Source organism: Homo sapiens, chromosome 7 (genome assembly GCF_000001405.40).
Source record: "Homo sapiens chromosome 7, GRCh38.p14 Primary Assembly".
NCBI classification, from domain to species: domain Eukaryota; kingdom Metazoa; phylum Chordata; class Mammalia; order Primates; family Hominidae; genus Homo; species Homo sapiens.
In genome coordinates, this window is record NC_000007.14 from 57764891 (window position 1) to 57790443 (window position 25553).

The 25553-nt window shown below is 46.5% G+C and overlaps 1 long non-coding RNA gene across 1 annotated transcript in view; it reads left to right on the forward strand.

The window, feature by feature from the left end:
- The first annotated feature begins 7584 nt into the window (after positions 1–7584).
- The window catches only part of LOC105375302 (uncharacterized), a 45033-nt gene continuing 27064 nt past the window's right edge, over positions 7585–25553 (forward strand). The window contains exon 1 of the long non-coding RNA XR_001745217.1: positions 7585–7782. This is a non-coding gene — a long non-coding RNA (uncharacterized LOC105375302). The remainder of the gene's footprint in view (positions 7783–25553) is intronic.

Here is a 25553-nt window from a genome sequence, read left to right on the forward strand (position 1 = left end):
AAGGTTTAACTGATACAAAAAGGCTTATCTCTGTAAGATGAATCCACACATCACAAATCATTTTGCTTCTTTCTAGTTTTTATGCTGGGATATTAGGTTTTTCAGTTTAGTTCACAATAGGCTCCGAAATGTCCCTTCATAGATTCTACAAAAAAGGTGTTTTCATCCTGTTGAATCAAAACAAAGGTTTAACTCTGAGATAAATCCACTCTTCACAAAGCATTTTCACAGATAGACAGTTTTTAGTTTTTACCGTGAAATATTTGGTGTTTTACTTTAGTCCTCAATGTTCACAAAAATGTCTTTTTTTTTGTATATGCTACATAAAGAGTGATCTCAACCTACTGAATGATAATAAAGGTTTAACTTTGTGAGATGAATCTGCACATCACAAAGCATTTTCACTAATAGGTTGTTGCTAGTATGTATCGTGGCATACTCAGTTTTTCAATATTCTTGTCATTGGGCTCCAAAATGTCCTTTTGTGGATTCTTTAAAAAGAGTGTTTCCAACGTGCTGAATCAATATAAAGGTTTACCTCTGTGAGATGAATCCACGCACCACCAAGCATTTTCAAATATTGCTTGTTTCTAGTTTTTATCTTGAAATATTCATTTTTTCACTATAGGCCTCAGTGAGCTCCAAAATGTCCCTTCACAGCTTGTACAAAAAGAGTGTTGCCAACCTGCTGAATCAAAACAAAGGTTTAAGTTTGTGAGACAAATCCACATATCAGAAAGCATTTTCACAGATAGCTTGCTGCTAGTTTTAATCACTGGTATTAGGTTTTTCAGTATGGCCTTCAGTGTACTTTGAAACGTCCCTTTGTAGATTCTATTAAAAGACTGTTTTCAGCCTGCTGAATCCAAACAAAGGTTTAACTCTGTAAAATGAACCCACACATGGCAAAGCATTTACACAGATAGCTTGTTTCTAGTTTTTATTGCAGAATATTCAGTTTTCCACAGTAGGCCTCAATGGGCTCTGAAATATCCCTTTATAGATTCTACAAAGAGTTTTTCCAACCTGATGAATCAAAAAAAAGTTTTATCTCTGATAAATGAATTCACACATCATAAAACATTTTCACAGATATTTTGTTTCTAGTTTTTGTCACAGGATATTAGGTTTTTCTCTATAGGCCTCAATGGGCTCCGAAATGTTCCTTCCTAGATTCTACAAAAAGAGTGTTTCCAACCTGCTGAATCAAAATAAAGGTTTATCTCTGTCAGATGAATGAACACATCACAAAGCATTTTCACAGATAACTTGTTTCAAGTTTTTATGATAAGATATTTCGTTTTCCACTGCAGGCCTCAATTGGCTTCAAAATATTCCTTTGAATGTTCTTCAAAAAAAGTGTTTTTGACTTGCTGCCACAAAACAAAGGTTTAACTTTGTGAGATAAATCCACGCATTGGAAAGTATTTTCACAGATAGCTTGTTTCCTGTTTTTATAGCAGAATTAAATAAGGTTTTACAAATATAGGCCTCTATGGGCTATGAAATGTCGCTTCATAGATTCTAAAAAAGAGTTTTTCCAAGCCGCTGAATCAAAACAATTTTAACTCTCAGTTGAATCCACACAACGCAAAGGATTTTCACTGATAGATTTTTCTAGTTTTTATCAAGGAATATTTGTTTTTTTATTATAGTTCTCAATGGGCCCTGAAATGTCTTTTAATACATTCCAGAATTAGACTGTCTGCAACCTGCTGAATAAAAACAAAGGTTTAACTCTGGGAGATGCATCCATACATCACAAAGCATTTTCACAGACAACTTATTTCTAGTTTTCATTGTGGGACATTTGATTTCTTAAAAGAGGCCTCAATGGGCTCCAAAATGTCCCTTCGTAGATTCTCCATAAATAGTGCTTCCAATCTGCTAAATCAAAACACAGCTTTAAACTTGTGAGATGAATCCACTCATTGCAAAGCATTTTCACATAAAACTTTTTCTAGTTTTCATCATGGGACATTTGTATTTTTACTACAGGCCTCAATGGGCTCCAAAGTGTCTCTTCATAGGTTCTACAAAAAAGAAGTGTTCCCAACCTGCCTTCCATAGATTTTCCAGAAACAGTGTTTTCAACCTCCTGAATCAAAACAAAGATTTAACTGTGTGATGAATCCAGACATCAGAAAGCATTTTCACAGGTAGCTTTTTTCTAGTTTTTATCGTGGGATATTGGTTTTTCACTACCTGCCAAAATGGGCTCCAAATTGACCTCTCATAGATTCTACAAGCACAGAGTTTCCAACCTTCTGATGCAATACAAAGGTTTAACTTCGTATGATAAATCTACACATCACAAAGCATTTTTACAGATACCTTGTTTCTAGCTTTTATCACAGTATATTCTGTTTTTCACTACAGGCCTCAATTTGCTCTGAAATGTCCTGTCATATATTCTACAATAAGAATGTTTCCAACCTGCTGAATAAAGAGAAAGATTTAACTCTATGAGATGAAATCACACATCTTAAAGCATTTTCAGAGATAGCTTCTTTATAGTTTTTTTTAGGATTTTAGATTTTTCACTATAAGCCTGAATCAATGGGCTTTGAGATATCTCCTCATCAATTGTACAAAAAGAGAGTTTCCAACCTGCGGAATCAAAACAAAGGTTTAACATTGTGAGACAAATCCACAAATTGCAAAGCATTTTTACAGATAACTTGTTTCTAGTTTTTATCACAGGATATTTGGTTTTTCACTATAGGCCTCAGGGGGCTAAGAAAAGTCCTCTCTTTGATTCTACAAAATGAATGTTTCCAACCTGCTAAGTTTACAACCTGCTGAATCAAAACTAACATTCAACTCTGTTAGATGAATCCACACATCGCAAAGTATTTTCACAGATAGCTAGTTTCTAATTTTCATCGTGGGATATTCAGTTTTTTACTGCAGGCCTCATTGGGCTTGAAATGTCCCCTTGCAGATTCTAGAAAAATAGTGTTTCCAACCTGCTAAGTCAAAATAAAGGTTAAACTCTGTGAGATGAAACCACACATTGCAAAACATTTTTACAGATAGCTTGTTCTAGTTTTTATCATGGCATATGTGGTTTTTCACTATAGGCCTCAATGAGCTCCAAAATGTCCCTTCCTTTATTCTACAAAAAGAATGTTTCTAACCTGCCCAATCAAAACAAGGTTTAACTCTGTGAGATGATTCTACACATTGCAAAACATTTTCACACATAGCTTGTTTCTAGTTTTTATCCTGGGATATTTGGTTTTTAGTATAGGCCTCTATGGGCTCCAAAATATTCCTTCATAGATATTACAAAAAGAGGGTTTTCAACTTTCTGAACCAAAGCAAGGGTTTACCTCTGCGAGATAAATCCACACATCTCAAAGCATTTTCACAGGTAATTTGTTGTCAGTTTTTATCAGGGATATTCGTTTTTTTATAATAGGCCTCAAGAACTCAGAAATTTCTTATTTTAGATTCTACTAAAAGAGAGTTTCCAACCTGCTGTATATAAACATAGGTATAACTCCATGAGATAAATCCACACATCACAAACATTTTCACAGATAGCTCGTTTCTAGCTTTTATCACAAGATATTCAGTTTTCACTATAGGCCTCAGTGGACTCTGAAATGTTCCTTTGTAGATTCTACAAAAGAGTGTTTGAAACCTGAAGAATAGAAACAAAATTTAACTCTGTGAGATGAATCCACACATCACAGAGCATTTTCACTAATAATTTGTTGCTAGTTTCTATGGTGGGATATATAGTTTATCAATATACTCATCCATGGGCTTCAAAATATCCCTTCATTGATTCTTAAAAAAGAGTGTTTCCAAACTGCTAAGTCAAAACAAATGTTTAACTCTGAGGGCTAACCCACGCATCACAAAGCACTTTCACAGATAGTCACTGGAACGCTGGCCTTTCTGGAAAAGCCACCTTTTTGGCACCCATCCCCTCATGCCTGTGGCAGTGGCACAGTGCTCTATCCTGCCTGGGCTTTGGCCTCTGCTTTGTCCTTCCTCTTGCTCTGTCTCCCCTGTTTCTGAGTGGCCTAGATGCCTCTCGCTCTGGCTGAATATCTTCAACAATGATCACATCCCAGTCCATCAGGGAGACACCTTCTGGAGATCCCTGTTGTGATTGTTTCTCTCTTTCAACCTGTTTCTGCTTGATAGGGCAGGATTGACGACCCTGGAGCTCTTGGCTTCCATACTTGTCTCAGACAGGGAAGCTTCCTTCCTCTCTGTGTTTCACCTTATGGGTGGGTGGATTGCCTGGAATGAGCACTAGGCGACCATGACAGGCTTGTCTTCTAGGACAGGTGGTGTCGCATTTCCCCTGCACTTCATGTCTCATTCATGAGAGACATCTCTCTTCTGCTCCTGGGTGGACTGACTCCCTGGATCTTTTGACCATAATGAATATCGGGGAAAGGAACCAAAGGGACTGGGCTGGGGCTGGGGCTGGGGCTGGTTGCAGGGAAGGTTGGGTCAGGGCTACCTTGGCCGTGGAGGGTTGGGGGTGGGGTGAATTTTGCAGAAACCTCTTTAGTCCTCCGGCAGGCATTTCAAAATGTGGCTTGGACTCAGGCACAGGCCCCCTCCTGGTTCCCAGATGTTCTTTGATTTTCCTTAGCATTGATGGAAAGGTCACTTGATCTGCCCTTCCACCAGACACATGCCTGGACACCATTGTTGGTTTTGCCATCGCCCCATATGCCTCCGGTGACACACATTCACACCATCTGCTCTGGGATACGCCAGTGCCACGCTTGATCGCATTGGCCTCACCTCGGAATCGCCTCTGTCTTTGTTTGCACATGTCCTGGAAAGCAGTGTTGGCTTGGAGGAGCCCCAGGGCTTTTAGAAGCGGGGCAGGCCGCTGCTCTTTCAAAGGGGGAGGGAGGCAGAGGGCTCAGGGATCAGTGAATTTTCAGCTGACACCACGCGTTGAGGCCCATTCTGTGCTGCAGGGAGGCCCTGCCTGCCTCACCAGATGTGGTGAACCCATCCTATCTCACTCGGAGGGGTCCAAAATCAGATCTGAAGGGGAGTCCTGAGAACCTAGCAGGCGCCCTGAAGCTCCCCGTCCATCGGTGGAAGTCGCTCAAGGAGGTCCTGAAGACTGGACTCCTGGGGGTTTGGCCCTGGGCCAGGACACCTGCGGCCACCTCTCCCACGCGGCCCCAAACGGGACCCCAGATCCAGCCACTGCCAAGGCTGCAGGAGTAGCCCCCCTGCCGCTGCACAGCCGCGGCCTTATTTAAAGGGGACTGAGCCCCACTGCCAGGAGCAGAGCGTTAGTCCGCCCAGCCAATGCGCATGCGCGAGGCGCGAGCGGATTCTCCCGTCACAGTGCTTCCCATGGTTGTCTTAGAAACCAGTCCCTGAGGCTTGGCAAAGCAGGAGTCCTCCTTGGCAGCGCTTGGGTGTCGGGATTCCGAGGTTTCAGTCTGACCTCTCCACGGGGTCGACAGGAATGTCTCCAGATGCCAGGAGTCGCAAAGCGCCGACCAGGATGACGAGACCACTGGCGGAGTCCAGGGGAAGCAGCAAGGCATCCCAGCCTCAGGCCTGCCTGCACGGTGTTTGGGTGAGTCTCCCCAAAAGTCGTGCCCCCGGGATCTCAAGGACAGATCGGCCTGCGTGCCCCTGGGCTGCTCTCTCAGCCTAGGGTCGTTCTCATCCAGATCAGAACCCTGCAGCCTCAGGGGTTGCCTGGCGGGGTGTGTTTCTGTGCCACTGCTGTATGATTGTGTGTGTGTGTGTGTGTGTGTGTGTGTCTCCCATTCTCTCTTCTCTCTCTGTCTCTCACTCACTGTGTGCTTCTTTCCCTCTCTCTGTCGGTTTCTGTGTGTGCCCGTGTGCAAGTGTGTCTTTGGACGAATGTGCCCTGTGCGCCACAAAGCGATTTCTTGCATGGTGGCCTGTCTTTGGTGAGCCTCTTTCTGCATCTCTGCCTGGGTCATGAGGCTGGTTGTCAATTGTTTTTGCCGCTGCAAAGCCGCTTTGGGTGTGTGAAGACCTGGTCCATGTGAGGAGACGCGTCGGTCCCGGAGCAATTGAAATCTCATCCCCATCCTGAGCGGCCTCTTTTTTAGGATCAAGATGACCACACTGCAGCCAAGGACAAAAGCCCCACAGGAGCTCATTGTACTGCAGGAGAGGAGTGGACCCACGTCAGAAATGAGGTTGTACCTTTTCCCGGCTTTTCTGTGAGCAATGAAGCCACATCACGATAGAGTCTTGAAGAGGAATCCGGGAATGGGAGTTGGCAACAATCCCTGTCACTGGAACGCTGGCCTCTCTGGACAAGCCACACTTCTGGCCCCCCTCCCCTTGTGCTCGTGGAGGTGGCACGGTGCTGTATCCTCCCTGAACTCTGGCCTCTGCCCTGCCTTCCCTCTCGCTCTGTCTCCCCTGTTTCTTAGGCACCTAGATGCCTCTCGCTCTGGCTGAATGTCTTCAACAAAGATCACTTCCCAGTCTCTCAGGGAGACACTTCCTGGAGATCCGTGTCATGATTGTTTCTCTCTCCAAACCTGTTTCTGCTTGATTGGGCAGGTTTGATGTCCCTGGAGCTCTTGGCTTCCATGCGTGCCTCAGACAGGGAAGCTACCTTGGTCTCCATTTTTCACCTCATGTGTAGGTGGATTGCCTAGAAGCAACGGTAAGCCACCGTGACTGGCCTTGTCTTCTAGGACAGGCACGGTGTTGCATGTCCTCTGCATCTCCTGTCTCATTCTTGAGGGACATCCTCTCCTCTGCTCCTGGGCGGACTGACTCCCTGAATCTTTTGGACCCCTCCTGGATCCCAGGTGTTCTTTGATTTTGGTTGGCATTGATGGAAAGGTCACTTGTGCCCCTCTTCAGCCGGGCACATGCCTGGACACCATTGCTTGTTTCGCCATCGCCCCATATGCCCTCGGTGACACACATCCATTCCATCTGCTCTGGTATACGCCAGTGCCACACGTGGTCGCCTTGGCTCCACCTGGGAATCGCCTCTGTCCCTGTTTGCACTTGTCCTGGAAAGCGGTATCAGCTTGCAGAAGCCCCAGGACTTTTAGAACCGGGGCAGGCCACTGCTCTTTCAATGGAGGAGGGAGGCAGACAGCTCATGGGTCAGTGAATTTTCAGCTGACACTATGCTTTGAGGCTCCTGGGAACATTCTGTGTTGCAGTGAGTCCCGGCCTGCCTTAGCAGATGTGGTGATCCCATCCTTTCTCACCCTGAGGGGTCCAAGATGTGATTCAAAGAGGAGTCCTGAGACCCCAGCAGGCACCCTCGAGCTCTCCCTCCATCGGTGGAAGTCGGCTCAAGCAGGTCCTGAAGACGGGACTCCTGAGGGTTTGGCCTTAGGTCGCCCGTGGACCTCTCTCCTACGCCGCCCCCTACTGGGTCCTGGATCCAGAGGCCACGGAGGCTGTGGCAGGAGCCCCCCTGCCGCCGTGCAGCTGCCATTGTTTCAAGGGGACTCGCCTGACTGCCAGGAGCGGAGCGCGAGTCGGTCCAGCCAATGCGCATGCGCGAGGTGAGATCCGCTTCTCCCATCACAGTGATTCCCATGGTTGTCTTAGAAACCAGTCCAGGAGGCTTGGCAAAGCAGGAGCCCTCCGTGGCAGTACTTGGGCATCGGGGCTCCGAGGCTCTGGCCTGACCTCTCCACGGGGTCGACAGGAACGTCTCTGGATGCCAAGAGTCGCAAAGGGCCGACCAGGATGAAGAAACCCCCGGCGGAGTCCGTAGGAAGCACCACAGCAGCCTAGCCTCAGGCCTGCCCAGAAGGTGTTCGGGTGAGTCTCCCCAAATTCGTGCCCCCGTGATCTCTAGGACAGGCCTGCCTGTGTGCCCTTGGGCTGCTCTGTCACCCGAGGGTCATTCTCGTCGACAGCAGAACCCCCCAGCCTCAGGGGTGGCATTCGGGCTGAGGAGGGTGTGTTTCCATGCCACTGCCGTGTGACGGTGTGTGTATGTGTATGTGTGTGTGTCTCCCATTCTCTCCTCTCTCGCTGTCTCTCACTCTGTTTCTTTCCCTCTCTCTGTCGGTGTGTGTGTGGGTGTGTGTTTGTGTATGCGTGCCCTGGTGTGTTTGTGCGTTTGGACGTATGTGCCTGTGAGCCAGAAAGCTATTTCTTGCATGTCGGCTGGTCTTTGGTGAGCCTCTTTCTGCATCTCTGCCTGGTTCATGTGGCCGGCTGTCAGTCGTTTTCCTGGCCGTTCCACTTTGGGTTTGTGAAGGCCTTGACCACGTGAGGAGACGCGTTGGTCCGGAGCAATTGAACTATCATCCCCATCCTGAGCAGCCTCTTTTCTAGGATCAAAATGACCACACTCCACCCAAAGACAAAAGCCCCACAGGAGCTCACTGTCCTGCAGGAGAGGAGCAGACCCACGTCCAAGAAGATGATTGTATCTTTTCGTGGCTCTTCTCTGAGAAATGAAGCCACACCACGATACAGTCTTGAAGAGGAAGCTGGGAATGGGAGATGGCAACAATCCCTGTCACGGGAACGCTGGCCTCTCTGGACAAGCCACCGGTTCAGCACCCCTCCCCTTGTGCCCGTGGAGGTGGCAAAGTGCTGTATCCTACCTGGGCTCTGGCCCCTGCTCTGTCCTCCCTCTTGCTCTGTCTCCCGTTTCTGAGGGGCCTAGATGCATCTAGGTCTGGCTGAATGTCTTCAACAAAGATCACTTTCCAGTCCATCAGGGAGACACTTGGCGGACATGCGCATCACGATTTTTTCTCTCTCCCAACCTGTTTCTGCTTGATTGGGCTGGTTGGATGACCCTGGAGAGCTTGACTTCCATAGGTTTCTCAGACAGGCAAGCTACCTTCGTCTCCATGTTTCACCTCATTGGTTGGTGGATTGCCTAGAATGAGCAGCAGGCCACTGTGACCAGCCTAGTCTAAAACAGGCAGTGTCACATTTCATCTGCACTTCCAGTCTCATTATTGAGAAACATTCCCTCCTCTGCTTCTGGGTGGACTGACTCCCTGAATCTTTTGGCCTCCTGGATCCAGGTGTTCTTCAATATTCCTTGGCATTGATGCAAAGGTCACTTGTGCCCCCCTTCCACCTGGCACATGCCTGAACACCATCTTGTGTTTCGCCATCACCCCATATGCCTTCAGTGACACACATTCACACCATCTGCTCTGGGATACGCCAGTGCCACGCATGTTGGAATTGACTCCACTTTGGAATTGCCCTTGTCCCTGTTTGCATGTGCCCTGGAAAGAGGTATCAGCTTGCAAGCGCCCCAGAGCTTTTACAAGTGGGGCAGGCGACTGCTCTTTCAAAGGAGGAGGGAGGCAGAGGGCTCATGGGTCAGTGATTTTTCTGCTGACACCACACCTTGAGGCCCATGTGATCATTCTGCCCTGCAATGAGGCCCTTCCTTTCTCAGCAGATGTGGTGAGTCCATCCTTCTTCACCCGGAGGGGTCCAAAATCAGATCTTAAGAGGGGTCTTGAGATGCCAGCAGGTGCCCTGAAGCTCTCCCTCCACCGGTGGAAGTCAGCTCAAGGAAGTCTTTAAGACAGGACTCCTCGGGATTTGGCCCTGGGACCACCGCGGCCCTCTCTCCCCTGCCGCCCCCTACTGGAACCTGCATCCTGCCATCGCCGCGGCTGCAACAGGATTCTCCCTGCCACTGTGCAGTCGCCATTGTTTAAAGGGGCCACAGCCTGTCTTCCAGGAGCACAACGTGAGTAGGCCCAGCAAATGCCTATCCGCGAGGCTCTAGCTGATTCTCTCATCACATTGATTTCCATGGTTCTTAGAATCCAGCCCCTGAGGCTTGGCAAAGCAGGAGTTCTCTGTGGCCCTGCTTCCTTGTTGGGGCTCTGAGCCTCCAGCCTGACTCGCAAGGGTTTTAACACCCTTCCCATCCTCAGCTGCCTCTTTGCTAGGATCAAGACGACCACAACCCAACCAAGGACAAAGGCCTCACAGGTGCTCATTGTCCACCCCCAGGAGGGTGCCCACAGACCTTGAAGAAGACGGTTTTCACTCCTCTTGCACTTTGCCCTCATTCAGAAATCCAGGAACAGTTCGACACGGCGACAGAAAAGGAAGCCAGCAACGGGATGCAGCAAGCATTTCTGTCACCCAAACGCTGGCCTTCCTGGCCAAGTCACCCGCTTGACACTTTTTCCCGGATGCCCATGATGGTGGCTTTGTGCCGTATCCTGCCTGGGCGCTGGCCTCTACTCTGTCCTCCCTCTTGCTCTGTCTGCCCAGGCTCTGGGAATCCTAGAGCCTTCTTAGTCTGGCTCAACATCTTCAACAAAGAACACTTCCCAGTCCATCAGGGAGAAATTTCTTTGGGGTCCGTTTCATGATTGCTTCCCTCTGCAAAACCTATTTCTGGATGATTGGGCAGGTGTGATGATCCTGGAGCTCTGGGCTTCCATACCTGTCTTGGACAGCAAAGCTCCCTTGGTCTCCATGTCCAAAGTGATGGCTGTGTAGTCGGTCCAGGAAGAGCAGGAGGTGACCTGACCGTGGCTGACCTTTGTTTTCTAGGAAAGGCGGTGTTGCATCCCACCTGTACTTCTCTCTCATTCCTGAGGGCCATCTGGTTGCTCTGCTCCTGGGGAGAGTGCCTTCAAGCACTGAATCTTTTGGCTGCCACGAATGTCAGGGAACCGAGAGGACTGGGTTTTGCTGGGTGCAGGGGAGTTGGCATCAGAGGTACCTACCCACTGGCAGGATTGGGGTGGGATGTACTTTGTGGAAATCTCTGGGCCCCTCAGGCAGGCATCCCTGAATGTGGCTTGGACTCGGGCACAGGCCCTGTCTCGCAGGTTTTTAGGTGTGCTTGGCTTTTCCTCAGCTTTATGTGGGAGGTCCTAGTGGCCCACAGGCACACACTTGGACGTCACTGTCTGTCTCGGCATCACCCCATATGGCCTCAGAGACACACGCTCATTCCGTCTGCTCTTGGGTGACATCAGTGCCACTCGTGGTCACATTGGCTCCATCTCGGACTTGCCTCTTTCTCTCTTTGCACATGTGGCAGAAAGAAGTTTCGGGATGCCAGAGCCCCGGGCCTTGGAGATAAAGGCAGGCCACTGCTCCACCCAGGAAGGAGGGAGGCAGTGGGCTCATAGGTCATTGCATTTTCAGCCTACAGTACGCCTTACGGCCCTTGGGATCTTTCTGTGCCCCAGCGAGACCCTTCCCGCCTCACTACATTGTAACCCCATTTCTGATCCCCCTTTCGGATCCATAATCAGATCAGAAGAGGAGTCCGGAGAGCCCAGCGGCACCCTGAAGCTCCTCCTCCACCAGGAACTGAAGCAGAAGACGGATCGAGAAGGTCCTGACGACAGGACTCCTATGGGTCCAACCCTGGGTCTCCTGCAGGCCCCCTCCTAGTACCCTTCCCACCCGCCGCCTCGGACTGTACCACCGCCCCAGTCCCCGCAGTCAGCTGTGTTGCAGCCATGTTTTAAAGGGTCCGCAGCCTGACTCTCCAGAGCAAGGGCAGAGTCGGCCTCGCCAGCGCGCATGCGCGAGGTCCGAGCCACAGCTTTGGTAACAGTGTCCAGCACTGCTGCCCAGAAATAGGTTCCTGAGACTTGGCAAAGTAGGAGCCTTGTGTGATAGTGCGTCAGAGTCGAGACTGAGAGCAGTCCTGGCCAGGGTGTTAACAGGATGGTCTCCAGTGACCGGTATTCTCGGAGGGTCGACAACCAGGGAGAAACCTCAGGAGCAAGAAACCTCAGGCAGATCGCAGGGGAGGCAGCGCGAGATCCCAGCCTCAGGCCAGGATTTGCGGAGGGTTGATGAGGCCCCTCTCCCAATCTTCACTTCACCAGCCACCGCCCGAGTCCCCGCAGCCGCCGCTCCGCCATCATTTATTTTATCATTTTTTTAATAGTCGGAATCTCACCCTGTCACCCAGTCTGGAGTGCAGTGGCGGGATCTCAGCTCACTGCAAACTCTGCCGCCTGGGTTCAAATGATTCTCTTGCCTCCGCCTCGCGAGTACCTGGGATTAGAGGGATTAATCAGAGTCGAGGCTAAGACCAGTCCTGGCCAGGGCATCAACAGGATGATCTCTGGAGGCCGGGATTCACGGAGGGTCGTCCAAGAGGAAGAAACCGCTGGCGGAGGGCAGGAGAAGCAGGGCGGGATCCCAGCCTCAGGACTGCATGGACGGTGTGCCAGTGAGTATCTTCAAAAAAGGAGAGGTTTGCTTGTGTGCCCATGAGCTGCTCTCTCATTGGTGGGTCGTAGTTGCAGAGAGCAGAACACAGCAGCTTCAGGGGCTGCCTGGGGGTGGGTGTTACCGTGCCACTGCCCTATGTCTTTGTGCGTTTGTGTGTGTGCGTAAGTCTCTCTCTTATTTCTCTCTCTCTCCTTTCTCGCTCTTTCACTCTGTGCCCGTCTGTGTGTGCGTGTGTGTGTTGGGACACATGTGCCCTGTGTGCCAGAGGGCGGTATCTTGTACGTCGGCCTTTCTTCTGGTCACCCTCTCCCCGCGTCTCTGCCTGGGTCTTGAGGCCATTTGTCAGTCGTTTTTCCGGTGGTTCCAGTTTGGGTTTGTGAAGGTCTGGAAGAGGTGGGGAGCTGCGTCTATCTCATAAGGATTTAAATCACCTCCCCACCCTGAGAGGCCTCTTTTCTAGGATTAAGGCCTCCACCCCCGAGCCAAGGATAAAAGCCTCACCGGAGAGTTCATTGTCTACCTGCAGGAGCTGTGTAGAGTGACCTCAAAAAATATAGTTCTCATTTGTCTCTGTCTTTCATCTCCTTAAGAAATCTAGCCACAGGGTAACACAGGTTTTGAGAGGATGGGAACGGGACATGGCAAGGATCTGTGAGTGTGCAGACTGTGTTTCACATATCATTAAACATAGTCTAGTGAGGGTTCTGCAGATAGCTGGCATTTAGGTTTGTTTTATTGAATCAAGGAAAAGAAAAAATGCCAAGAAAAAATGATACAACTTGCCTGCCAGCCCATCTGATTGTTACCAATTTAATAGTAATTTTAATTTATCTTCTCATGTAAAGGTCCTTGGCAGTGATACCTAATTTCCTAAGATAGCCTTCTTTTATTTCATATGATTAAGATATCATGCATATCAGAGAATCTGGAAATTCTTCCCAATGCCGTCGACATACATGATTAATCACATTACCAAAATAACATACCAAAACAAACAACAGAAAATTATTTGTTACTTAGTTCCTTCAACTTTGTTTATCTAATTTGTGGTTCCTTCATGCACAAAACATTTCATGTGTGTCTGGCACTCTTCTGGTCACAAATTTCATCTTAAATAACCTAAGTATTGAAACGGTTGTGCCCTTTGATTGATTTTTCCTACATAAATACTTGGATAAAAAGCTACATTGAGGCTGGGCATAGTGGCTCACACCTCTAATCCCAGCTCTCTGGGAGGCTGAGGCCAGTGGATCACGAGATCAGGAGATCAAGACCATCCTGGCCAACATGGTGAAACCTCATCTCTTCAAAAACACAAATAATTAGCCAGGAGAGGCCAGGTGCTGGCTCACGCCTGTAACCCCACATTTTGGGAGGCTGAGGTTGGCAGATCACCTAAGGTCAGGAATTCGAGACCAGTCTGCCCAACATGGCAAAACCCTGTTTCTACTAAAAATACAAAAAATTAGCCGGGTGTGGTGGCAGACGCCTGTAATCCCAGCTACCCAGGAAGCTGAGGCAGGAGAATCGCTTGAACACAGGATGCAGAGGTTGCAGTGAGCTGAGATCATGCCGCTGCACTCCAGCCTGGGTGACAAGAGTGAAACTCTGTCTCAAAAACAACAAAAAAAAAAAAAGAAAGAAAGAAAGAAAGAAAGAAAAGAAACCTTGTCTATACTAAAAATACAAAAGTCAGACCCTGAAGGTCACATCTGAATGAGAAAGACATTGTTTGCCTCAAATTGTCTGACTCTAAGGAATAGTGCAGACTGGACAAGTGAGGTGACTCACACCTATAATTCCAGCACTTTGGGAGGCCGAGGAGGGTGGATCTCCTGAGGTCAGGAGCTCAAGACCAGCCTAGCCAAAATGGCAAAACTCTGTCTCTACTAAGAGAACAAAAATTAGCCAGATGTGGTGGTGCACATCTGTAATCCCAGCTTCTCAGGAGGCTGAGGCAGGAGAATCACTTGAACCTGGAAGGCAGAGGTTGTAGTGAGCTGAGATCGCACCACTGCACTCCAGCCTGGGTGACAGAACAAGACTCCATCTCAGAAAAAAAAAAAGTATGTAAGTCACTAATGTATCAAAAAAACAACCATTCATGTATTGCAAATAAATACTCAACCAAGACAAAAAGGCATGTCACATGTTATGGGAAAAGACTGTAATGATGGTGAGAGGAAAACTGTGACCCTTGAATATAGGACAGAAAAAAATCAGGGGACGATGTTAAGGAATTGGAAATAATTCTCCATATTAAAGGAACACAAGAAACAGAAAGAGAGGAGAGAGAGACACGATAGTCGCAGACTGCAGAGGTTTGGGGTAGACGGGAATCAAGGAGGCAGAGAGAGCAGTGGGAATGTACATAAAATCACCCTCCGGAGCTGTGCTGTTCAATAAGGCTGCTGAACACTTGAAAGATGGCTAGTCCAACCTGAGAAATGCTGTAAGTGGAAAACACATTTCAAACAATTTCTGAATACTCAGTATAAAAGAAAGAATGGGCCAGTGTGGTGGCTCACACCTGTAATCCCAGCATTTTGGAAGGCCAAGACGGGAGGATTGCTTGAGCCAGGAGTTTGAGACCAGTCTGGGCAACACAGCAAGACCTCATCTCTTCGGAAAAAAAAAAACAAAAATTAGGTCAAGTGCAGTGGCTCACACCTGTAATCCCAGCACTTTGGGAGGCCAAGGTAGGTGGATCACTTGAGCTCCAGAGTTCGAGACCAGCCTGGACAACCTGCTGAAACCCTGTCTTAACAGGTTTTTTTGTATTTTAAAAATACAAAAATTAGTCAGGTGTGGTGGCACATATTTGTGGTCACAGCTACCTGGGCGGCTGAAGTGGGAGGATCATTTGATCTCTGGAGGTCGAGGCTGCAGTGAGCTGACATTGTGCCACTGCACTCCAGCCTGGGTAACAGAGTGAGACCCTGTCTTAAAAAAAAATTAGCTGGACATGGTGGTGGTCAGGACCAGCCTGACCAACATGGAAGAGCACTGTTTCTACTAAAAATACAGAAGTAGCCAGGTGTGGTAGCACATGCCTGTAATCCCAATTACTCAGAAGGCTGAGGCAGGATAGTCATTTGAACCAGGGAGGCAGAGGTTACAGTGAGCCGAGATCACACCACTGCACTCCAGCCTGGCAACACAGCCAGACTCTGTCTCAAAACAAACAAACAAACAAAAAATATATATATACATATACACACACAATTTTGGAGTGAAGTTTCAAAATCAATCAGTAAGCCCACCTACCAGGTTTATCCCTATGCAAAGTGCCCCCTCCGCACATTCAGGATTAAATGAACCTTGAAAATATTATGCTAAGTGGAAGAAGCCAGTCACGAAATATCACATGTTATGTAATTCCATTTAAATAAAATGTCCAACATACATGAATGCATAGAGACAGAAAGTAGACTAGTGGTGGCCCAGGGTTAGGGGAGTTGGGGGAAATGGAGGGATATGGGGTTTACTTTGGGGCAATGAAAATGATCTAAAATTTATTGTGGTGATGTTTGCACAACTGTGCAAATATACTGAAATCATTGAATTTTACACTTTAAATGGGTGCCTTCTGTGACATGTTAATATTTCTCAATAAAACTTCAAAGAGTACCTGTGTGCCTCCAGAGTCCACATTTTTACACTTGATAAAGAAATCAAGATATTGTTTCTTCTTCCTCTTTATTTTTATTTTATTTATTTTATGTTTTGAGACAGAGTCTCCCTCTGTTGCCCAGGCTGGAGTGCAGTGGCACGATTTCATCTCACTGAAACCTCCCAGCTAATTTTTGTATTCCTAGTAGAGATGGTGTTTCACCATGTTGGCTAGGCTGGTCTCGAACTTCTGACCTCAAATAAGTCCACCACCTTGGCCTCCAAAAGTGCTGGGATTGCAGGCATGAGCCACCACGCCTGGCTCAAGATTTAGTTTCCATTGTTTCAGATGCCCTAGGTCAATTTTATTCTACTTTAATTTCTGATGCATCATCTCAGTGGAAATTTTACATTACTTCCTGAAGTATTTTACTCTTTTTAAGATTTTATCAGCTGAGTGCAGTGGCTCACACCTCTAACTGCAACACTTTGGGAGGCCAAGGTGGGAGGATTAGTTAAGCCCAGGAATTCAAGACCAATCTCTGCAACATAGTGAGATGCCTATCTCTACAAAAAAAAATTGTTTAATTAGGTGGGTATATTGTTGTATGCCTGTGGTCTCAGCCAGTAGGTAAGCTGAGGTGGGAGGATCACTTGAGCCCAGGAGGTTGAGGCTGCAGTGGCCATGATTATACGACTGCATTCCAGCAAAAATATTTTTAATTACATTTTTTAAGAAAACAAAATATACAATTACTGACTTGATACAAATGAATGACTTTTATAATCTACAGAAACCAAAAAAATAACAATAATAAAAACCCACAGCCATTCTTCTTATGTGAGTCTCTGGTGTCTCTGAGTTGTAAGAATTGTGAATTATGATTAATAACAAATATGCATGACAAGGACCCAATAAGAGATAGGCATTGATAAATTGCAAATCACACTTACTGGAGTAAGGTCTTTAAAGTTGTACAAGAAAAAGAAAGAAAAAGAAACGGCATTGAAAAACTGCATTGGCTACCAAAATGCTAAAGTTTACCTAAGTCCATTAATCAGCGCACACAAACACACAAACGCAATGGATGTGAAAAATGGTCAACACGGTATTCCATGAACGTATCCTCTTATAAATAGGTCTGTGGGGGTAAGAGATGAGGTTCTATAGATCCTGGAGTCAGGGATGGGGAATCTGTGGGGTCCCTGGGGTGAGAGGTGAGGATCTGTAGATTAGTGATGGGTGGTTTTTTGGACAGTGATGAGATCCATGGAATCAATTCTCGTGGGTATGTAGGGTCAGTGATGAGGGAATCTGGTGTCAGTGATGGGATGTGTGTGGAATCAATGAGAGAGTGTGGAATCAATCTGTGAAGGCCAGATTTGTGGTGTCATCTCTCAGGCTGACACATCCTGATCTGTGTCAGTGGTGGAAATTCTATGGGGTCAGAGTGTGATAGTCAGGTCCCTGCCACTGGGTGTTCTGGGTCCAGCCAAGGGCACAGATTCCCTTACCTGATCCTGGCTGGAGAGGCCCTTCTCACGGACTCCTCATGTGAAAGGTGGGTTGTCGGCGGTTTTTGTTTTTGTTTTGTTTTGTGATAGGGGTGGGTGGGTTGGCTTTTTCTTTTGGGTTTGGTTTTGCCTCTTAGAGACCACAGACACATCCAGTTTTAGGAAGACATTTTTGTCTGGGCAATCGCTAGTCCTTTGGGCCAAGCCATCTAATGGGAACGAAGCTGACCATTCCCTCAGCGCAGTTCAGATCTAGATGGTCGCTTTAAGGGGTCCACTCGGGGGCATGAAAGTGGGTTGTGGCTTTGAGTGGCAGGTGGGCGGGAAGAAACAACTAAGAAAGACACATGAGAGGTCCTCAGGCTTGATCTGTCACAGCTAGAAGAACAGCCTCCTCAACCCATCAGCCGCCAATGGGAGGTGACTCTGGGCTGCAAGAGGCTGGCGGAGGGGGACTTCCAGACCCAGAAAGTCTGGGCACAGAAGCCTATTACTGCCAGACGCTGAGGAGTTGCCGTGGGAACCAAGGGCCTTTCGGGTCAGACAGACAAGGGCCTTTCTCAGACAATTCTTTGGGTAACTGGCAAGCTCCTGTCCAGCGCACGCCCCTATGAATGCTTAGTGTGCCATCTCGGGCAGAGTCTTCTTTGGTCTGAGAGCCACTTGTTTCTTAAATCCCTGCACTAATCTCGCCGTCTGCTCCTACGTAGCCCAGGCATTTGCCGCATGCTGGTCCTTTCTTTCCTGACAGGCGGACAATCTCTCTCCAGCTTCTGGGAGGACAGTTCAAATTATGGAGGAGGGGGCAGATGCAGGGCAGCAGTGCGGAGGGGAGTACGGGGGAGTTGGGGGAGCAGGGGCTCATTTTTCTTTGTAGCTCAGATTCCCAAGCCTGTGACTTTGAGAATCTTTGTCTCCTTTGCAACGTTTCAATCTGAGGCTCTTGGGAGAGGGCAGAGTTAGAGCCAGATGGAAGAGTTGTGGGGAGAGGAGTGGGTGGAGGGAACATGGAGAAAGTTTCAGGCGGTGTCTTTATTCCTGGCACCTTACTTTGCCTACTGGAGTTTCCCAGTCTGTTCCAGACGCACTCTCTAGACCCTGAGGGGGCTTGAGGAAGCATGTTAGTTGGCAGTGTGGTGGAGATGGAGTGCTGGGAGGTGGAGGTTGCAGTGAGCCAAGATGGTGCCACTGCACTCCAGGCTGGGTGACACAGCGAGACTCTGTCTCAATAAATAAATAAATAAACAAACAAATGGAAGGGAAAAAACACAATATAAAAACCAAGTGATTCTAAAAGTAGCAATATATCATAATGCCTAAATATGTGTAATTGGTGGGACATGGTGGCTCCGATGTATCATAATGCCTAAATTTGTGGGATTGGTGGGGTGTGATGGCTCCCACCTGTAATCCCAGCACTTTGAGAGGCCAAGGCCAGTGGATCACCTGAAGTCAGGAGTTTGAGACCAGCCTGACCAACATTGTGAAACCCTGTCCCTACTAAAAATAGAAAAAAATTAGTGAGGTGTTGTGGTGGACACCTGAGGTCCGAGCTACTAGGGAGGTTGAGGCAGGGGAATCGCTTGAACCCAGGAGGCAGAGGTTGCAGTGAGCCAAGATTAACCCATTGCACTCCACCCTGGGTGACAGTGTGAGACTCCCTCAAAAAAAAAACGTTTGTGGGACCAATTCCAATCAAGTCCAGGGGTCTCGATTGGCCAAGGCAGTCTCAAACTTCTGACCCCAAGTGATCTGCCTGCCTGGCCTCCCAAAATGCTGGGATTATAGGCGTCAGCCACAGTGCCTGGCCTCCCCTCCTTTTCATTCATTTTAAATGTTTTATTTGCTCCGTTATGTATGATTGCCTTGATGATTTCAGCTTGAATTAAAATTACATATTTTTGCCTGTGTTTATTAATATTTAAACATATTAAAGTAATACATGTTCATAATGAAAATGAAACATTATGAATAAATACACAGGAAAGGCAGTATTCCCCTTCCAGTTCCACTCTTGAAATAACCAGTTAACAAGATGATGAACATCTTTCCATGATGTTCTCCAAGATTCATATAATTATTTGCAATCATACAATGGCATATACAGCTCAGGTGCCATAGGCTCACACATGTAATCCCAGCACTTTGGGAGACTGAACCAGGTGGATCATTTGAGGTCAGGAGTTCAATACTAGCCTGGCCAACATAGTGAAACCCCATCACTACAAAAAACACAAAAATTATTTGGGCGTGGTGTTGGGCGCCTGTATTCCCAGCTACTTGGGAGGTGGGGGCACGAGAATCACTTGAACCTGGGAGATGAAGGTTACAGTGAGCCGATATCACATTACTTCACTCCCACCTGGGTGAAGAGTGAGATTCCATCTCAATAAATAAATAAATAAAGAGAAAGAAAGAAAGAAAAAAAGAAAGATGAAAGAAACAAAGAAAAAAGGAAGAAAGAGAGAGAAAGAGACAGAGAAAGGAAGCAAGAAAGCAAGGAAGCAAGCAAGCAACCAAGAAAGAAAGAAAGAAAGAAATAGAAAGAAAAAGAAGTCATGTACTCAGGTTGCTAAGATCGATGGTAAGAACAAATCCTCTAGTGGAGAAAATGTAAGAAGGAAAAAGAAATTTCTGTTAGTCTTGTTTGTTGTACCCCATGCTCTAAAAAGTACAGCCACATGTGTGATAAGTACTTAGTTAAGATGAAAAAGGCATTAAATTTGTGCATGGAAATCATAAACAGAAATGCACTCTGATTGACAGCAATTGGGTCAATGCTATCCAAGGTTCAGGCATCCACTGCTCTGCGGGTCTTAGATCACATCTCCTGCAGATAAGGGAGGGCTACTATATAACGTTTCTTTCTTTTTTTCTTTAATTATAAAGCATTCTCCTTTTTTATACAACAATTTGCCATTGATATCACTTTAGGTATAAAGATATTAGGATATCTTTATAGTATATAAAAAGCTAACTCATTATTTGTAAGAGTTAAAGTATCTTCCATTATATGAGCATTTAAAATGTTAAAGTACTTTTGCCATCAAAAATAGTGCTTCTGTAAATATTCTTTTACTTATACCTTTATTAATTTTTACTTCTGCTGAAACAAATTGCATGAGGAAACAAATGTATGTGTATAAAATATAATATATGTATATATATTTAACGTGTATATACAACTTAATATATACACATACATACAATAACATACCCAATTTTTTTGGTTGTTTTTGAGATGGAGTTTTGCTCTGTCACCCAGGTTGTAGTGCAGTGGTGTGATCTCAGCTCACTGCAACCTCCACATCTTGGATTCAAGTGATTCTCCTGCCTCAGCCTCCTGAGTAGCTGGGAATACAGGCATCTGCCACCAAGTCCAGCTATCTTTGTCTTTTTAGTGGAGATGGGTTTTCACCATGTTGGCCAGCCTGCTCTCGAACTCCTGACCTCAAGTGGTCCACCGACCTTGCCCTCCCAAGGTGATGGAATTACACTTGTGAGCCACCGTGCCTGGCCTAACTTATACAATTTAATGTATATACAAATATAGGTTGGGTGCAGCGGCTCACTCCTGTAATCCTAGCACACTGGGGAGCTGAGGTAGGGGAGTTTTTGAACTCAGGAGTTTGAAACCAGCCTGGGCATCATGGTGAAACCCTGTCTGTACAAAAAACACAAAAATTAGCTGGGTGTACTTGCAGGTGCCTGTGGTCCCAGCTACTCAGGAGACTGAGGTGGGAGGATAGCTGGAGCCCAGGTGGTCGAGGCTGCAGTGAGTTGTGATCATGCCACTGCACTCCAGCATGGGTGACAGAGTGAGACCCTGTCTTAGACAAAAACAAATCAAACCAAATATAATGTTTATGCACTACACACTTGATTTCTTTCCAAAGGGTTATATAACGCTGTACTTTCACCAGCAATATATGCGACTACTCATTTCCTACATACTCACTATCACTTGTGTGCAGTCAAGGAAACTTAGTAGGCCTGAATTGCCCAAACCTGGCATACTCCAAAGAATGGTGTGACTCTAGCCCAGCTCCTAAAGTTTGATTGAATAATGATAGCATTGGTACACATTCACCTTGGCCTGTCTTAAGATTCAGAAACTTTCCAAGACTCTAGAGAAATCTTTCCAGACTCTAGACCCAAGTTAAAGATTAGATGTTGATTGAATGAAACAGTCCTGCTTGTAGGTGCAATCTCACATGGAGCTTAAGATGTATATAAGCACTAGAAAAAAAAACTTGTAACTTTGAGTTGATCTGGTGAGTTACCTGGTGCTTCTCCCTGTAAATGGCTGCAGAAATAAACTTCCTTCTTTCCCAGTCTGTCTGTGTCTTGTTATTGAACAATTGCGATGGACCTGCCCAGCAAAGTCCTCTTTTGTGTGGTTATCTGAGACTCCTTTTGGAGGGAACATTTTAAATTTTCCATTTCAAAGCATTCTGTTGGCACTCTTACACTGTTTTTCTCTGCCTACCTGGGACCTGAGTTCTCCCAGATGTGAATCTCCAGCCACAGAGCCTAGAAGCCCATTCCTCTACATTCTGTGACTGTTCCCCAAACACAGGGAGAATTTGCAGAAAATAAGCCCAAAAATCTTGCCATTCTTTGCAATAAAACCCCACATTACAAACTGCTGAAAACAGGATTTTAGCCTGAATAGGTTTTTCCTCTATTTGAAACCCTTTACAATTTTGGAGGGAAGTTTCCAAATCAATCAGTAAGTACCCCCCACCCCAGGTTTACCCTTATGTAAAGTGCCCCCTTTGCACATGCAAGATTGAAAAAACCTTGAAAATATTATGCTAAGTGAAAGAAGCCAGTCACAAAGGACCACATGTTATGTAATTCCATTTAAATAAAATGTCCAAAATAGACCAATACATAGAAACAGAAAGGAGATTTGTTGTGGCCCAGGGTTAGGGGAGTTGGGGGGAAATGGAGGGATATGGTGTTTACTTCAGGGTAATGAAAATGATCTAAAATTTATTGTGGTGATGTTTGCATAACAGTGCAAATATACTGAAAACCATTGAATTTTACACTTTAAATCAGTGGCTTGTGTGGTATGTTATCAATATTTCTCAATAAAACTTCAAAAAAAATAGTGCCTATGTGTCTTTTTGTGTATTATTCCTCCATAGTCCAGTCCATAGTTTTTACATTTGATGAAGAAATTAAGATTTTGTTTCTTCTTCTATTTTTTTTTGAGACAGTATCTCCCTCTGTTGCCCAGACTGGAGTGCATTGGCACAGTCTTGGCTCATTGAAACCTCCAGGCTAATTTTTGTATTTTTAGTAGAGACAGTGTTTCACCATGGTGGCTAGACTGGCCTCAAACTACTGACCTCAAGAGAGTCCCCCACCTTGGTTTCCAAAATTGCTGGGATTACAGGCATGAGCCACCGCACCCAGCCCAAGATTTAGTTTCCATTGTTTTGATGCCCTAGGGCCATCTTATTCCACCTTAATTTCTGACGCATCATCTCAGTGGAAATTTTACGTTAGGTCCCAAAGTATTTTCCTCTTTTTAAGATTTTATCAGTTGAGTACAGTGGCTCACACCTGTAATCTCAACACTTTGGGAGGCCAAGGTGGGAGGATCAGTTGAGCCCAGGAGTTCAAGACCAGTCTCTGCAACATAGTGAGACACACATATCTACAAAAAAAAAATTTAATTAGGTGAGCATATTGGTGCATGCCTGTGGTCTCAGCTTACTATGTAGGCTGAGAAGGGAGGATCACTTGAGCCCAGGAGGTTGAGGCTACAGTGGCCATGATTATACCACTGCACTTCAGCCTGGGTGACAGAGCAATAGCCTGTCTTAAAAAAAAAATTAATTGCAATTTTTTTTTAGAAAACAAAGTATACACTTAGTGACTTGATACAAATGAATGAATTTGATAATCTACAGAAACCAAAACAAATACATAAATAAAAACCCAAAGCCATTCTTCTTATGTGAATCTCTAGTGTCTCTGAATTATAAGAATTGTGAATTATGATTAATAACAAATATGCATGACAAAGACTCAATAAGGGATAGGCATTAATAAACTGCAATGCACACTTACTGGAGTAAGGCCTTTAAAGATGTACAAGAAAAAGAAAGAAAAGACATTGAAAAATTGCATTGCCTACCAAAACACTAAAGTTTACCTAAGTCCATTAATCATCACACACACACACACACACACAATGGGTGTGTAAAATGGTCAACACAGTCTCCTATGAATGTATGCTTTTATTAATAGGTCTGTGGGGGTAAGAGATGAGGTTCTATAGATCCTGGAATCAGGGATGGGGAATCTGTGGGGCCCCTGGGGTGAGAGATGATGATCTGTAGATTAGTGATGGGTGGTCTTTGGGATAGTGATGAGGTCCATGGAATCAATGATTGTGGGTATGTAGGGTCAGTGATGAGGGAATCTGGTGTCAGTGATGGGATGTGTGTGGAATCAATCTGTGAAAGCCAGATTTGTGATGTCATCTCTCAGGCTGACACATCCTGATCTGTGTGTCAGTGGTGGAAATTCTATGGGGTCAGAGTGTGACTGTCAGGTCCCTGACACTGTGTGTTCTGGGTCTGGCCAAGTGCACAGATTCCCTTGCCTTGTCCTGGCTGGAGAGGCCCTTCTCAAGGACTCCTCACATGAAAGGTGGGTTGGCGGTAGGTTTTGTTTTTGTTTTGTGGTGGAGGTAGGGGTGGGTTGGCTTTTTCTTTAGGGTTTAGTTTTGCCTCTTAGAGACCACAGACACATGCAGCTTTTAGGAAGAAATTTTTGTCTAGGTAGTCGCTAGGTCCTTTGGGCCAAACCATCTAATGGGAGTAAAGCTGACCATTCCCTTAGTGCGATCAGATCTAGACGGTCGTTTTAAGGTGTTCTCAAGGTGGCGGGCAAGTGGGTTGTGGCTTTGAGTGTCAGGTGTGCGGGAAGAAACAACTAAGACCCAGGAGCGCTCCTAGGCTGGATCTGTCACAGCTGGAAGAACAGCCTCCCTAACACATCAGGCGCCAATGGGAGGCACCTCTGGGCTGTGAGAGGCTGGTGGAGGCGGGACCTCCAGACCTAGAGATTCTGGGCACAGAAGCCTATTACTGCCAGACGCTGAGGCGTTGCCATGGGATCCAAGGGCATTTCGGGTCAGATCAGAGCTTTTCTCAGATAATTGTTTCGGTAACTGGGGAGCTCCTGTCCAGCGCATGCCCCTATGAAGGCTTAATGTGCTGTCTCCCGCAGAGTCTTCTTAGGTCTGAGAGCCACTTGTTTCTTACAACCCTGTGCTAATCTCACCATCTGCTCCTACATACCCCAGGCATTTGCCACATGCTGGTCCTCTCTTTCCTGACAGGTGGGCCGTCTCTCCAGCTTCTGTGAGGACAGTTCAAATTATGGAGGAGGGGGCAGGTGCAGGGCAGCAGTGCTGAGGGGAGTACCAGGCAGTTGGGGGAGCAGGGGCTCATTTTTCTTTGTAGCTCAGATTCCTAAGCCTGTGACTTTGAGTATCGGTGTCTTCCTTGCAATGTTTCAGTCTCAGGTTCTTGGGGAGAGTGCAGAATTGGAGCCCGATGGAAGACTGGTGGGGAGAGGGGTGGGTGGAGGGAACATGGAGTGTGTCAGGTGTTGTCTATTCCTGGCACCTTACTTTGCCTGCTGGAGTTTCCCAGTCTGTTCCAGATGCACTCTCTCGACCCTGAAGCAACCCGAGGGGGGATGTTGGTCTCCAGTGTGTGCTCCCCTGGACTCGATTGGAATTTGTCCCAAAGTGTTTGTTTGTTTGTTTGTTTGGAGGGAGTCTCACTCTGTCACCCAGGCTGGAGTGCAGTGGGGCAATCTCAGCTCACTGCAACCTCTGATTCCCAGGTTCAAGTGATTCTCCTGTTTCAGCCTCCCTAGTAGCTGGGACTACAGGTGTCCGCCACCACACGTTGCTAAATTTTTTATTTTTAGTAGAGGCAGGGTTTCACAATGTTGGTCAGGCTGGTGTCTAACTCCTGACCAGGTGATCGACCCACCTTGGCCTCTTAAAGTGCTGGGATTACAGGTGGGAGCCATCACACCCCGCCAATCCCACAAATTTAGGCATTATGGTACATTGCTACTTTTGAATCCCTTATTTTTTTAGCTGCATTTTTCCCCCTCCTTTTATTGATTGATTGACACAGAGTCTCGCTGTGTCACCCAGACTGAACTGCAGTGGCACAATCTCAGTTCATTGCAACCTCTCCCTCCCGGGTTCAAGC